The 15,955-nt window shown below is 41.4% G+C and overlaps 1 long non-coding RNA gene and 1 other non-coding gene across 2 annotated transcripts in view; both read left to right on the top strand.

The window, feature by feature from the left end:
- Positions 1-15,955, top strand: part of LINC02463 (long intergenic non-protein coding RNA 2463) — an 80,288-nt gene that overhangs the window by 26,743 nt on the left and 37,590 nt on the right. The gene's annotated exons all lie outside the window — the stretch shown is intronic.
- Positions 6,810-6,880, top strand: LOC124900323 (small nucleolar RNA SNORD56). Its single transcript, XR_007063626.1, has one exon. It is a non-coding gene; the product is annotated as a small nucleolar RNA SNORD56 (small nucleolar RNA).

Genomic DNA, 15,955 nt, shown 5'->3' with positions numbered 1-15,955 from the left:
AAGCTTTCAAGAAGGGGGAGCAGTGGTGCCCTAGCCAGTCTGGCTTTGGAGGAAGCTCCATCCTAGTTGCTTCACCCAGGGCTGTGATCAGGAAATCCCTTTTCAGATCTTCTTGTGGCTCCGTTTCAAAGATCACTTCCTTTTGCAGAAATAAAACATGTTGCTAGGCTATCGTCTCAGCTCCAGCCCAAAACTCGTGGGCACAAGTTGGGGGGAAGCCAGTGTGGTGGCCTGAAGAAGGTCTCTTCATTCTTCGTTTTTCTTCCTGCCCTGGAAGGTTCTAGAAAGCTGTGCACTGCTATTCCTTTTCTTGGGAGGTTTGGAATGAGGCTAAGGGCTGAGGATTACTGGTCCCATCTGGAGACAAGTGTTTCAAATCAAGATCCCCCCTTTTAAAGATAGCTGCCTTCTTCAGGGAGGCTCTGTTCCCCGACCCACACTCCCTGTGCTGATTTCCTGCTGTGTAGACAAGTACCTTAATAAATGATTATTTATTTTATCGGGCAGCCCCTTCTGTACATGTCCAGTTTCCTGCTGTGACCTCCAGCCAGAATCCCAAGGTGTCTTTCTTAAAGGGGCCAAGGAGATGGAGCCTTTTCTAGTTTTTATTCTTTTTATGGCTGTGAGCTGTGAGTTCTGTACAAGGTAGCTTTTCCCTGGGGAGGTTTCTTCCTTCCCAAAGTCTTCCCCTCATTCTGTTAGATACCAGCCTTCCAAAGACCCCCAAAGCTGCTAGTTGGGACTGAGGGGCCCCCAGCCCTGGCTGCCTGTACCCCTATCCTTGGGCTGCAGATGAAGGCAGCAATGACCCCGGCAAAGGATGAGGGGTCAAACAGAACAGGGGATGAGGAAGTATCGGAGAAGGAGTCAGCCCAAAGCATTTTCACTGGGCTTCTAAGAAATCCATGTGTCCAAGGTGTCTTGGTGGTAAGCAGAGCCCATTTCCCCTAACCAGGGTGGCAGCACCAGGTCAAAGGAACTCCGTGTGGGTCCCTGCTTGGATTATGCTCTGTCCCCACCACCAGGCCTTTGCTTATGCTGTGTTCATTGCCTGTAGTGACCCTGTCTCCTGCCTTTTGGGAGACCTAACATTTATAGAGGGCCAGCAAGGTGCCGGACATTGTTCCAAGTCTTGGGGATGCAGTGATGCACAAAACAGCCTATTCCTGCCCTCATCAAGCTTGCATTTCAGAGCAGGGCCAATGGACAAGAAATGAATATGCAGATAAACACTATGTGTGGTCTGTTGGGCAGCCGTAAGTGCTGATGAGAAAGAAATCCAGCAGGACAAGGAGGGTGATGGGGAAAGTGGTCAGGGAAGGGTGGCTTGAGAGGTGACAGAGGAGCGAGGAAGTGTGTTCCTAAGAGAGGGAACAAAATGTCCTAAGGCCTGGAGGCAGGGCTGAGCTCTGTGTGTCCCCAGGCAGCTAGGAAGCCAGCTGGTGGAGGAGGAGTGAGCCAAAGGCTGAGAACAGGGAGAAAGTTGCTGGACACCCAGGCCATGTGAAGTTCCATGGGCCATTCGCAGTGAGGATTTTGGATTTTATTGCAAAGCAGATGGGAGCCAATGGAAAGGTCTGAACTGAAGAGTGACAGGATCTGACTTAACGTTTTAAAGGAATCACTAGTTGTAGTCATTGATACATATTCATTCATCTCATCTTCAGCATTTTAAGATGCAGTGCTTTCGTTTGTTTCCATTTTATAGATGCCAAAACTCGAGGCGCAGAAAACCTAAGTAACTTGCTCAGGATGCCATACAGCAAGTGAGGGGCAGAGCCAGGATTCTGTCTGAGCCCTCTGGTGGTTGGGCACCATCAGCTCCAGGAAGCCTCTTCTATGTGCTCCAGAATTGGTTGCATGGGGAGCCCCTATGAACTTCACCTTCCTGAGCCTCAGTTTTCTGTAAAATGGATATGATAGCAACCACTCTTGCCTTACTTTATACACAGTGCTGTTGGCAAAACCAAATGAGATGAGCTGCAAAATGAATGACTATATATTATTAATTAAATTGTTATAAAACCCAGCTCCTATTTATCAAGCATCTGTGGGGAGCAAATTCCTGCTTATTGGGTCTTATTTAATTACCAAACCACTCTGTGCTGTAGGTGCTATTGCGATTCCAGAGAGCCTGGCACAGAGACAACAGTCAAGAAACTTGGAGTGAATTAATAGCGATGATCTCATTGGATTCCTTTCTTTTCATTCCACTGGGGCTTCTGGAGTTCCCTTGTTCTAGGTTCCTCGTGTCTAATGAATAAAATAGTAATATTTACTTCCTAAAGAGGTTGTGAGGATATCCTGTAGACCAAGTCCCTTCCTAGGAAGCAATTAATCAATTAGCTTTTTTTTTTTCTTTTTTTGCTTTCAGAAACATTCTATGCAAATAATACATGCAAAGGATTTACATAGCACTAAATATTTTTAATGCAAATGATATACAATACTATCTTGCCCTTTTCACTTAACAATGTGCCTTGGAGATAATTGCATTATAATACATATAGACAACATTGTTCTTTTTTTAACAGCTGCATAGTATTCCATTGTATGGCTGTTTTATAATTTTGTCTTTTGCTATTAACCAGTGCTGCAATGAATATAATTGTATGTATCCTGGCACACATATGAGGATATTGATTGAGTAAATATCCTCAAGGAGAATTGCTGGGTCAAGTTATACATAAATTTAAATTTTTGATAGACATTGCCAAATTGCAAGTTACAGAGATTGTAGAAATTTACACCCTTCACCAAGAGTGAATAAGACTGCTTATTTGTCCAGAAACTTGCTAACATAGTATATTATTAAACTTAAAAAAATTCATACTGCGGGATCTTGATATACATACTGTTTTTTGGTGTGTGTTTTTAGCTTAACATTAAGTTGCAAAAAAATGTTCAGTTTCAAGAAATATTTTTCAACAAAATTTTTAATAGTTATCCACTATTTCGTTGTATAGATGTACCATAGTTTATTTGACTAGCTTTCTGTGGTCAGACGGTATTTTTAAAACTAATATGTTTGATAAATTTGACTGTTAAAACGAAGAATATTGGTTATCAACAGACTCGTGAAAAGGTGGAAGACATTCCAAACTAGAAGAAAATATTCACAACACATGCAGCTAACAAGGGAGAGTATTAATGAGCCATATGTAAAGAATTTCTAGAAATAAATAAGCAAAGCTCAACAACCTAATAGAAACATGGGCAAATGAGAATAACAGACATTTCAAATGTAGAAACATATATGACTACTAATAAATGTATAAGGAGATGTGGAACATCATTAATAATGAGGCAAAGCAAGACCAGAATGAGATATTATTTTGCACTAATTTGTTTGGTAAAAATTTTAAAAAGGCCAGGCGCAGTGGCTCATGCTTGTAATCCCAGCACTTTGGGAGGCCGAGGTGGGCGGACCACGAGGTCAGGAGATTGAGACCATCCTGGCTAATATGGTGAAGTCCCGTCTCTACTAAAAATACAAATTAGCCAGGCATGGTGGCGGGCGCCTGTAATCCCAGCTACTCGGGAGGCTGAGGCAGGGGAATGGCTTGAGCCTGGGAGGCGGAGGTTGCAGTGAGCCGAGATCATGCCACTGCGCTACTGCACTCCAGCCTGGGTGACAGAGTGAGACTCCGTCTCAAAATAAATAAATAAATAAATAATAAATAAATAAAAAAAATCTGACAAACTAAGGGTTACAAGGGATGTGGAGTTGCAGAGCGAATGCAAATTGGTGCATCCATTTTGGAAAAACAGTTTAGTCTTGTAAACTCAATAGGAAAAATTATAATCCTGTGACCTAGTAATTTTTCTTCTGGATATAACCTAAAAGGCCAACAAGCATGTGAAAAAATGCTCAACATTACTGATATCAGAGAAAGCAAATTAAAATCACAGTGAGATATCATCTTACAGCAGTCCAGATTGCTATTATTAATTATTATTGTTGAGACAGGGTCTCGCTCTTCACCCAGGCTGGAGTGCAGTGGTGTGATCATAGCTCACTGCAGCCTTGATATCTTGGGCTCAAGTGATCCTCTCACTTCAGCCTCCTGAGTAGCTAGGACTACAGGTGTAAGCCACTACGCCCTGCTAATTTTTTTGATTTTTAGTAGGGACGAGGTCTTGCTATGTTGCCTAGGCTTGTCTCAAACTTCTGGGCTCAAGTGATCCTCCCACCTCGGCCTCCCAAAGTGCTGGGAGTACAGGCTTGAGCCACTGCACTTGGCCCCGAATGTCTATTAACAAAAAATCACCAAATAACAGATGCTGGGGAGGATGCATAGAAAAGGGGATGCTTTATACACCCATCGGGGGAATGTAAATTAGTACAAATTCTATGGAGGATAGTATGGAGATTTCTTAAAGCACTAAAAATCAAACGATCATTTGATTGGCAATCCCACTACTGGGTATCTACCCAAAGGAAAAGAAATTGTTATATAAAAAGACATATGCACTATGAGGTTTAATGCAGCAGTATTCAAAATAGTAAAGTTATGGAATCAACCAAAGTGTCCATCAATGGATGAATGGATAAAGAAAATGTGATATATATATATATATATATATATATATATATATATATATATGTATATATATATATATATATATATATATGCACACACTATGGAATACTATTCAGCCAGAAAAAGGATGAAATTATGTTTTGTGCAGCAACATGGATGGAGCTGTAAGCCATTAAGTGAAATAACTCAGAAACAGAAAGTTAAATACTGTATGTTCTCAACTACAAATGGAAGCTGAATAGTGTGTACATGTGGACACACAGCATGGAATAACAGACACTGGAGATTTGGAAGGGTGGGAGGCGGGAGGGGATGGGGGATGAGAAATTACTTAATGGGTACAATGTGCATTATTCTGGTGATGGTTACACTAAAAGCTCAGACTTCACCCTAGGCAATATATCCATGTAACAAAATTGCACTTGTACCCCTTGAATTTACACAATTTTCCCCCTAATGCCATATTTTCTAATATCAATTGGAAACAAATCAAATAACAGAATGTGCATGAAAAAGTGTGGTATTTTCCAATAATGGAATGTAACACAGCAGCAAAAAAACACAAAGGGTGTTTTAAATTCCTTGAGACATCACCAAACTGCTTTCCACAGTGGCGGAACTAATTTACATTCCCATCAGCAGTGTATGAGTGTTCCCTTTCCTCCACAACCTTGCCAGTATCTGTTTTTTTTTTTTTTTTTTTTTTTTGACATTTTAATACTGGCCATTCTGACTGATGTGAGATGGTATCTCATTGTGGTTTTGATTTGTATTTCTCAGCAATCCCACTATTGGGTATATACCCAAAGGAATGTAAATCTTTCTACCATAAAGACATGCACGTGTATGTTCATCACAGCGCTATTCACAATGGCAAAGACACAGAATCAACCTAAATGCCCATCAGTGGTAGACTGGATTTAAAAAATGTACATATACACTATGGAATACTATGCAGCCATAGAATAGAATGAGATCATGTTCTTTGCAGCAACATGGTTGGAGCTGGAAACCATTATCGTAAGCAAACTAATACAGGAACAGAAAACCAAACACTGTATGCTCTCACTTATAAGTTGGGAACTAACCTTTGAGTATACATGCACACAAAGAAGGAAACAATAGACCCTGAGGCCTACTTGAGGGTGGAGGGAGAGGACCAAAAAACTACCTATCAGGTATTATGCTTATTACCTGGGTGACAAAATAATCTGTACACAAACCCCCAATTTACCTATATAACAAACCTGCATATGTACCTCTGAACCTAAAATGAAAGTTAAGAAAAAAAAGTAAATCAGAAAAATAAAAAACAAAAAACAAAAATTAAAACACAAACAAAGGGTGGAAAAGGCAACAATATGGCGAACTTCGATACAGCTGGCAGTGCTTGCACCTGTCCTGCCTCTAGCCCTCATGCTCATATCTTCAGTGTCCACAAGCTGGAGTGCACTTTGCCATCTCCATTGCAGGCTGGAAGCCCCGGGAATTGACATTCCTTGGGAAGAGTTCTCAATCTTTGAATGACAGGAGTTGGTAAACCCCAGCTGCCTCGCTGCCTGGGTGAGATAACTCTGAAGTATGTATATGTACACCCTGAGCTTCCCCAGAGAGGCTAAGCTCCAGTTGCCGTCAGTGGTGGTTGGTTTGATAATGCACTTAAAAAAATTCATTTCAATAGTTTTTGGGGTAAGGTGGTTTTTGGGTTACGTGGATAAGTTCTTTAGTGGTGGTTTCTGAGATTTTAGTGTACCTGTCACCTGAGCATTGTACCACCCCCTCCCAACCTCCCCACCGCGAGTCCCCAAAGTCCGTTATATAATTCTTATGCCTTTGCACTTTTATTAAAAAAAAAGAGATGAAACACACATGACACAAATTAATCATTTAAAAAGGAACAGTTCAGTGGCAATGTTGTGCAACCACCACTTTCTAGTTCCAAAACATTTTCATTATCCTAAAAGGAAACCCATATTCATGAAGCTGTTGCTTCTCATATGCTGTGCTTTTGTTGACTGTCTTTCCTTCCCTGTCTCATTTCTCTACCTCCATCCCAAACAATTTGCACTTGAATCCTTGTCCTAAGTCAGCTTTTGGGAGAACCCAAATGAAGGTGCTTGGGAATGTCATATTAGGTAAGAGGAAAAAAAAATTCCAAGAAGTTACATGCAAGTAGATACTCATTTTTTAAGTTAAAAACTAAAATAAAAACATACTTTTACGTATACACATCAGATGTAAAAAAGAGTGTAAAAATGCAAGCAACTACAATGATGACAATATTTTTCATCAACAGAAATTAACCTAGTGAGTTTCGATATTTAGGGTATGAGTGAAAATAAAAATGCAAGCAAGGCATTGATGACTGAGATTCAGGAAGGTGGCAACATGAGGTAAGAGGAGTAGGAAGATGGGCTTAGGAGACCACAGGGTTGGATGTGAGTTGTTGACAGGGTCCTAGGTTTTGTTGTTGATGATGAGTTTCTATAAGCTAATGATATTTAAAAAATGACTAATAAAATTATTAAAAGCATAGATCAGAGATAAGAATGTGTCATACCAAATATTATAATGAGCCCAATCTGTGCAAATAAGCAAAACTGACATCAATGGAATTCAAATAAAAAGCGGACAGTATTTAAATTTTCCAAGTCCCATGTGGTAGGCTGAAGAAAGAGTTCTAAAAAGTGTATTTTATGTTGCTTTTACTTGAGAAGGGATTTAATACACTTTTCCTTTATCTTCCCTAGAAGATCATTCAAAAGGTCATAACCTAAAAGCCCATTAATAGGGAGAAGTTATATTAATGAGCACTGTTCTTCATGGCCTATGATGCAGTCATTCAAAAGATCAGATTAGATAGATGTGTCAATATACAGAGATATCCATGCTTCATTGATAAGGTAAAGAAGATATGTTTTATATGATCCTATCTTTGAAGCCAATTTTTTTGTCATATAAAATGTGATAAGTAATTTATTATATATGTTGTATATATGTGTAACCATTTATATATGTATATGAGCATATATAATTATATATTGGAAATAACTTACCCAGTATTGTTAACAATGTTTTTCTATGTGATAGAATTATGAAAAGTTTCTTTTTTCTTTTTTTTTTTTTTTTTGAGACAGAGTCTTGCTCTGTCACCCAGGCTAGAGTACAGTGGTGGGATCTTGGCTTATTGCAAACTGCCTCCCGGGTTCAAGTGATTCTCCTGCCTCAGCCTCCCAAGTAGCTGGGACTACAGGCTGCATGCCACCACACCCAGCTAATTTTTTTGTATTTTTAGTAGAGACAGGATTTCACCATGTTGATCAGGCTGGTCTTGAACTCCTGACCTCGGGTGATCCACCCGCCTCAGCCTCCCAAAGTGCTGGGATTATAGGTGTGAGCCACTACACCTGACTGAAAAGTTTCTATTTTCTAAGTTATGCATATCTATATGGGTTAAATATTTTTAGTCAGAAAATCCAATAAAAATGAATAATAAAAAATTATGTATTCAGTAGATATAGTTCTGTATGTTCTTATATAGTTATTGTGTTGTTATTGTTACTTTGTATAGCTACTCTGTTAGAGTTTGCAAAGTACATCTTCCACTAATTTCTCTTCCATCCATGAGTATGGGTAAATCCACACTGTCTTTTAAATTATGTTGCTTTCATTTCACAGAGCCATATTTTATCACCAATGACTTTTCCTCCCCATTTTAAAAGCTCTTTGAAAATAATTTTTTTTCCCTTCCTGCTTGCTACTTTTTCCACTCTCCTGGCCAAGTGTATGTCCTGTGGTCTAAAGTTGCACATACTGTTTTTTGTTAAGACCAGTTACTATGAAATATGATGTTCATGTGTGACATAGATAAATGTTAACGTCATTGTTGGCCACTCTGTAATTTGATGACAGAGTTCTGGGAGATTCTGTAAGGTGAGAAACTTTCTGCCTCTGACATTTGAAAACCCAGAGAAGTAAGCAATTTTAGAAAATTGAAAACATGAATGACAAGAACAAAAGAAAACAAAACTAAGTTCATTCCTTGGGTCGAGTGGTTATTCTTCCTCACTATGTCTGGGCCGGAAAGATTTCTTCTTCACATGTCCCTTGGCAAACTGTTATCCTTCTGACCTAATTTGGAGACTAGGTGTTCTCCAGTGGCTGAAATGGTGAGGAAATGAGATGCAACTGTATTTTGTTTCAGTTTTGTATGTACTTGGGTACCTTTCTTGCAGTGGGTCATGAGTTTCGGGCATCTTATAGAAAACCTGGGAGCCCTTGGTGCTGAAAAAATTGAGTTTCAGATAGAATGTGCTTTTAGAACTCCTGATTAGAGAATGCTGGGAATACAAGTTTCTTGCTTTGTTTTGAAAGTTCTTTTTCCTCTAAACCACGCAAATGTTTTTTTCAAAAACTTTTCTCATTCTTGATGATGATGATGATTTTTTTGCCTACAAATGGGAACAAAAAAGATTTTTTTCTGCATAAAGAATAAAAGGAATATATATCTTGCTTTGAAAATTTCTCCTAGTCCAATATTTTTTGACACCTTGTGAATTGTAACAGGAGGATTGATTATAAGCAGCTGTAAATTCTCAGTCTACTTAGTGTGCATAAGTGTGCCTTATCCTGCAAGGTAATTTTTACAATGTGGACACTCACGATACCACCTATGACACAGTCTTGCCAAAAATAAATTGACCCTGAATCAATTAAGTCTCTAATTCCAACTGCAATGTACAGAAACTACAGAGGACAGAGGAACATGTAACAATAGCACCACGAGGATGCATTAGCAAATTCCAGACTGTCTTTGATGATTAGAATAATGATTCCTCAAAGATGTCCACGTCCTAATCCCTGTAATCTGTGACTATATTAGGTTATGTGGCAAGGGAGAATTAAAGTTGTAGGTGCAATTAAGATTGCTAATCAGCTGACCCTGAGAAGGGTGAGATTTCTCTTGGATTACCTGGATGAGTTCGGCATAGTCACAAGGATGCTTGTAGATGAAAGAGGGAGGTAGTAGAGTCAATATCAGAGTGATGTCATGTGAGAAAGACTCAACTGCATTGCTGGCTTTGAAGGTGGAGGAAGGGGGCCATGAATTAAGTGGCCTCTAGAAGTTGGAAAAGCAAGAAAATGGATCCTCCTCTGTAGCCTCCAGAAAAGAACACAGCTCTGCTGACATCTTGATTTTAGCCCCTTGACATCTGTGTCAAATTTCTGCTCTCCAGAGCTGTAAGATAATACATTTGCGTTGCTTAAGCCGTTAAACTTGTGGTCACTTGTTGCAGCAGAAATAGGAAACTAAAATATGACCTGTTTATTTCAACAAAGAAAACGCGTATCTAAAATGGAGATGGTAGTTGATGCTGTCGGTGCCTCCCCATAGTCGGTACTGGAGGTCAGCTGCACACTGCTTTTGCACACACCAAGGCTTCCTGTGTGTCTGCCTGAGGGTCACTCTGGCTGCTGAACTGTGCTGGCTCTGTCCACAGGACAGGTGGTGAGTGCTGAGAGTTCATGCCCCAGGAGCAACCTTCTGCCAAGGCGGGATGGGAGTTGGTAAATAGAGGCTCCAATTCCCATGCTGGACATTGTCTGCAAGGTCCTAAGTCTCCGAGGATTTCACACCATCTGCCCCAAGTGGCTACTGTTTCTGAAGGTGCACTTTATTGGCTCATATTCCTTCTCTCTGGGTCCTTTCTCTACTTCCTTACCATGTTTTCTGGGACTGCTTCCAAAATCAACTGTTTGCACCCAAATTCTTGTCTGCAGATATGCTTTTGGTGGAGCCCAAACTAAGACAGAGGGGAACCTATGGTTTTATAGAGACTTAAGAGACACAACAGTCTGTCACAATCTTTGGACCTTATTTGGATACTGATTTAAACAAACAAACAAGCAAACAAAATACCTGAAAAGCGTTAATGACATTGATAAGATAACTGGACCAGACATTTGATAATATTAAGAGATGATTGTAGGCCAGGCATGGCGGCTCATACTCATACTCATAATCCTAACACTTTGGGATGCCGAGGCGGGTGGATCACTTGAGGTCAGGAGTTCAAGACCAGCCTGGCCAACGTGGTGAAACCCCGTCTCTACTAAAAATACAAAAATTAGCTGGAGATGGTGGTGGGCACCTATAATCCCTGCTAATTGGGAGGCTGGAGTAGGAGGATTACTTGACCCTGGGAGGTGGAGCTTGCAGTGAGCTGAGATCACACCACTGCACTCCAGCCGGGGCAAGACTGTGTCTCAAAAAAAAAAAAAAAAAAAAAAGATGATTGTATCCCACTGCTGCCACCAATAAAAGAGGTGATTGTCAAATTTTCAAGTGGGATAATGCTATTGTGGTTATGTTAAAACAAATAGTCTTTATCTTTCAGAGATACATTCTGAAATATTCATAAATACATTGATAATTGATACAAGGTTTAGGATTTGCTTCAAAATAATGCAAGAGTTAAAGGAAGAGAGAGTGTAGATGAAAGAATAGCCATGAGCTGATAATTTTTGAAATTGGGAGATGAGTAGAAGAGGGTTATGACACTATTTGTCCTACTTTTATATATGTTAGACATTTCCACAATAAAAAGTGTAGAAATGCCCACTTATCTAAACACTCTGCCTTTGAATCAGGCTGTGTGCGCACCATTGAGCAAGAGTAGTTTTGACTGCTCTTTGGGTTTTGGGGTGGACTTTGAGATCAGATCAACCTGTATTCCAGTCTGATCCTGGTTTATCTTGGATGGTCAGTTGTGTGTGGGGTTGGGACAATCCAGGGGACTGGAAAGTGGGGGATGGAGGAGAGTCTCTGGGAAGGAGATAATTCCAAACAAAGGATGCTTCATGACTAAAGATATGGACGCGAAAACAGACAGGAAGAACAAAGCTTCAGGCTGGGAGATTGATTTGGGGCTGCAAGGCTATATCACTCTGGGCTCTCCAGAGAAATTGAACTAATAGCATGCATGTGTGTGTGTGTATTTACATAGTTATAAATATAACTAGTATGGTTATTTATATATATTGTATAATATGTATACAAAATAGTTTGAGTTTGTGTATATATATATATATACACACACACATATATGTGAGTTGTGTATATATATGTGTATATATGTGTGTGTGTGTGTGTGTATATATATATATATATCCAGAGAGAGCGAGAAACTGATATTTGTTTTAAGAAATTGGCTTATGCAATTATGGAAGATGGCAAGTTGAAAATCTGCAAGGTAGGCAGGCTAGAGGCTGAGAGGAGTTGATGTTGCAGCTTGAGACTGAATGCAGTCTGCAGGCAGATTTCCCTCTTCCTCTGGGAACTTCAGTGTTTTTTTCTCTTAATTCCTTCAACTGATTGGACAAGGCCCACCCATATTATAGAGGTCAATCTGCTTTACTGTAAGTCTACTAATGTAAATGTTAATCTCATCTAAGAAAATACTTTCACAGCAACATCTGATCTGGTATGAGACCAAATATCTGGGTACTGCAGCTTAGCCAAGTTGACATATAAAATTAGCAGTCCCCAGGGGCCATTGTAGTACTCCAGAGAAGATGTAATAAGAGTTTAAACCAGTACATTGGCAGTGACAGTTAAGAGGAGATAGTGGTGGCTCACATCTATAATTCCAGCACTTTGAGAGACCAAGGCAGGTGGATCTCCTGAGGTCAGGAGTTTGAGACCAGCCTGGCCAACATGGTGAAACACCGTCTCTACTAAAAATACAAAAATTAGCCAGATGTGGTGGCACAGGCCTGTAGTTCCAGCTACTTGGGAGGCTGAGGCAGGAGAAGCAATCACTTGAACCTGGGAGGCGGAGGTTGCAGTGAGCTGAGATTGTGCCACTGCACTCCAGCCTGGGCAACAGAGTGAGATTCTGTCCAAAAAATAAATAAGTAAATAAATAAATAAAAAAGAGGGGATAGATGTGAGTGCTTTTGAGGTGTTAGAGTTCACAGCACTGGATGTGGGTAAATGAGTAGACCAAGTTTTCAGTACAGATGCTGGGGTAACATTTAGCAACATGAGAAGAAAGGGGAATCTAGATTATTCCCAGGTGATGACTGAGCAGCTACTGTGTTCCTGGCATGGAGCTGGTTCTTGGGATATGAGAGAGAGTAAGATGGACAAGGCGTCTGCTTCCCTGGAGCATGTGATCCTGCAGGAGAGGCAGACATTGAACAGCCGTTATCAGTGAGCTGAGGGCTATAGGAAGAATGAATGCTGGGGGCGAAGGTATCGACAAAATGAACCAGGTCAAGAGGCTCAGGAATGTCTCTCCCCAGGAAGTGACTGGTAAGCTGAGCTTAGAGGAATAAGCAGGAGTTTGGCCATGAGGAGGGGAAACAGCATTCCAATTAGAGGGAAGAACAGTGAGCAAAAGGTCAGAGTCTGGAAAGAACATAGAGAACTGACAGCTCTTATTTTGTATAGGATATTTGCTTTGAGAAGAAAATAATCATTCTTCTTCTCTTCCCTTGTGTGCAAATGGCATGTGCCTATATTGACCTGACCTAAAGCAAGTTAGGTTTGTGTATTGAAAAGCAGGCCATGTCGTACAGGCCTTCTTCAGGTTATTAAGAAAAGTTATCCTGTAAGGTTGAAATTCAGGATCTTCTACAACTTTACTAACAGACTGACAAGCTTACAAATCGGTAACTGAACCCTAAGTGTATACAGGGATAATTGATTGGGAGGGTAGAAAGAGAGTTCAGCTGGAAGGAGATCAAGGTTCTAGTCCCCACTCTGCTGCTTCCTGGCTGTGTGATTTATTATTATTATTATTTTTGATATGTAGTCTTGCTCTGTTATCTAGGCTGGAGTGCAGTGGTGCGATCCCGGCTCACTGCAACCTCTGCCTCCCAGGTTCAAGCAATTCTCCTGCCTTAGCCTCCCAAGTAGCTGGGATTATAGGCACCCACCACCATGCCTGGCTAATTTTTGTATTTTTAGTAGAGATGGGGTTTTGCCATGTTGGCCAGACTGGTCTTGAACTCCTGACCTCAAGTGATCCACCTGCCTTGGCCTCCCAAAGTGCTGGGATTACAGGCGTGAGCCACCATGCCCTGCCTGTGTGGTCTTGAACAAGTTACTTAGCCTCTCTGGATGCTGAGTTTTTGTGTCAGAAAAATTTGGATATTGGACAAGACCACTTCTAGTTCTAGGATTGTTATGATTCTATGGGTTTGGGTGATGTGCAATAGGAAAAAAATACATGATGTTCTCAGGTAATTCCTCAAACACCAATATTTCTGTATTTGTTAAACATTGGCTCCAGGCAGACTCTGTTTCAGGTGCTGGGGATTTAATGGGGAATAAGAGAGACAAGATTCTGCCTTAAAGGAACTAATTGGGCCAGAGGTAAGAGACAGACAAGTGGCAGCAGATGTACAAGCAGGACAAGTGCAGATTGTGATAAAGGGAGATTGTGTAAAGATAACAAACAGGATGATGTGAGAAGACTCTGTGTGTGTGTGTGTGTGTGTGTGTGTGTGTGTGTGTGTGTATTGGTGGAGAGTATCAGATAGGGCCAATCTGAGAAGCAGCATGGAGCAGAGACTGAGTGATCACAGAGACTTAGCCATCCAAAGAGCTGGGAGAATGCCAGGTGGAAGGAATGGCAAGTGCAAAGGCCCTGAGGCAGCATATAGTTAGCCTGCTGGAGAACAGGGAAGGGGCATATTGTATCAAGAAAAATGAATGAAGAGGAACATGGCTGGAGATGACCAAAAAGTAGCCATAGCCACACATAGCAGGCCTTGTAGCCTCAGTGAGTTGGATTTTATATTTTATTTATTATTAAAAATGTTTTCTCCTCTCAGCTCATACCTATATTTTTTATTTTTTTTTTTTTGAGACAGGGTCTCACTCTGCGCAGGTTGGAGTGCAGTGGCATGATTACAATTCACTGCACACTTGCCCTCCCGGGCCCAAGAAATCCTCCCACCTCAGCCTCCCAAGTAGCTGAGACTACAGGCATGCACCACCATGGCCAGCGAATTTTTTGTATGTACTTGTAGAGATGGGGTTTTGCCATGATGCCCAGGCTAGTCTCAAACTCCCGGGCTCAGGCGATCTGCCCACCTCGGCTTCCTAAAGTGCTGGAATTATAGGTGTGAGCCACTGCACCTGGCCAAAAGTTGGATTTTATTACCAAAAATGAGAATGCACTTAACTGGTGCCTCAGTCAATGGTGGCATTTAACTGAAATGAACTCATACTAGTCCCCCTGCCAAAAGATCCTCTTTCAGTGCTCCCCATCTCAGTAAATAAGCTATTTATGTATTTTACAAATACTTATGTGCCAGGCCCTGTTCCAGGTGCTGAGAATGCAGTGGCAAACAAAGCCAGTGGTCCCTGCTCTAATGGATATATAGGACAATGAGGGAGACAGGCAGTGACTAAGTGAACAAGTAAACAGGTAGCATGCTCCGTGGAAATGAGAGTTATGGAGAAAGATAAAGTAGGATTGAGTTGTGGACATCTTTGGAGGGTGGTTATTCTGCCTGTCACACCCATTTGTGGGGATGGGCATTGCTGATTTATGGTGGGAGGCCAGGGAAAGTGTCTTGGATAAAGAGACACTTGAGGCCTTGTGGGAAGAAGGGAGTGAGCCATGAGGATACCTGGGGAGGTGGTTCCAGGGAGTAGAAGTGGCCAGTGCAAAGACCCCAAGGCATCACTCGGGGAGGGAAAACATAGGGAAAAGAAGCCAGAGAGTTTATGGAGGGCCTTGTATGTCATGGTAGAACTTGGGCCTTGATCCTGAGAAAGATGGGGAACAAATGGAAGGTTGAGCAGAGGAGGAATGGGATCTCGGGTTTCACGGGATGCCACTGGCTTTGGGTGGAGAATAGATGGTGGAGGGACCAGGCTGGACACAGGGAGGCCATGCAGGAGGCTTCTGCAACAGTGCAGGGAGAGGTGGCTTTGACAGGGCAGGTGGGTGACAGCTGTCATTGCCCGTCTTGGTAACCTGGGCTGCTGTAACACATCACTACAAACTAGGTGGTTTAAAACAATAGAAATGTACCCTCACAGTTTTGGAGGCTGGAAGTTTAAAATGAAGGTGTTGTCAGGGCGTGCCCCCACCAAAAACCCTAGGGAGGAATGCCTCCTTGCCTCTCGCAGCTTCTGTGGCTCCCGGCAATGCTTGGCGTCCCTCCACTTGTGATTGCATCCCTCTAATCTCTGCCTTCATCTTCACGTAGACTTCTTCTCCACTGTGTGTGTCGCTGTGTCCTCTCCTCTTCTAAAAGAACACAGTCATTGGGTGAGGGTTCACCTTAACCCATCATGACTTCATTCTAGCTTGACCAATTACATCAGCAAAGACCTTTTCTCCAAATAAAGTCAAAATCAGAGGTCTTGGATGTTAGAATTTGGACAT

Source organism: Homo sapiens, chromosome 12, assembly GCF_000001405.40.
Source record: "Homo sapiens chromosome 12, GRCh38.p14 Primary Assembly".
In the NCBI taxonomy this organism is placed as follows: Eukaryota; Metazoa; Chordata; class Mammalia; order Primates; family Hominidae; genus Homo; species Homo sapiens.
This window is presented reverse-complemented; position numbering and strand designations above follow the sequence as displayed.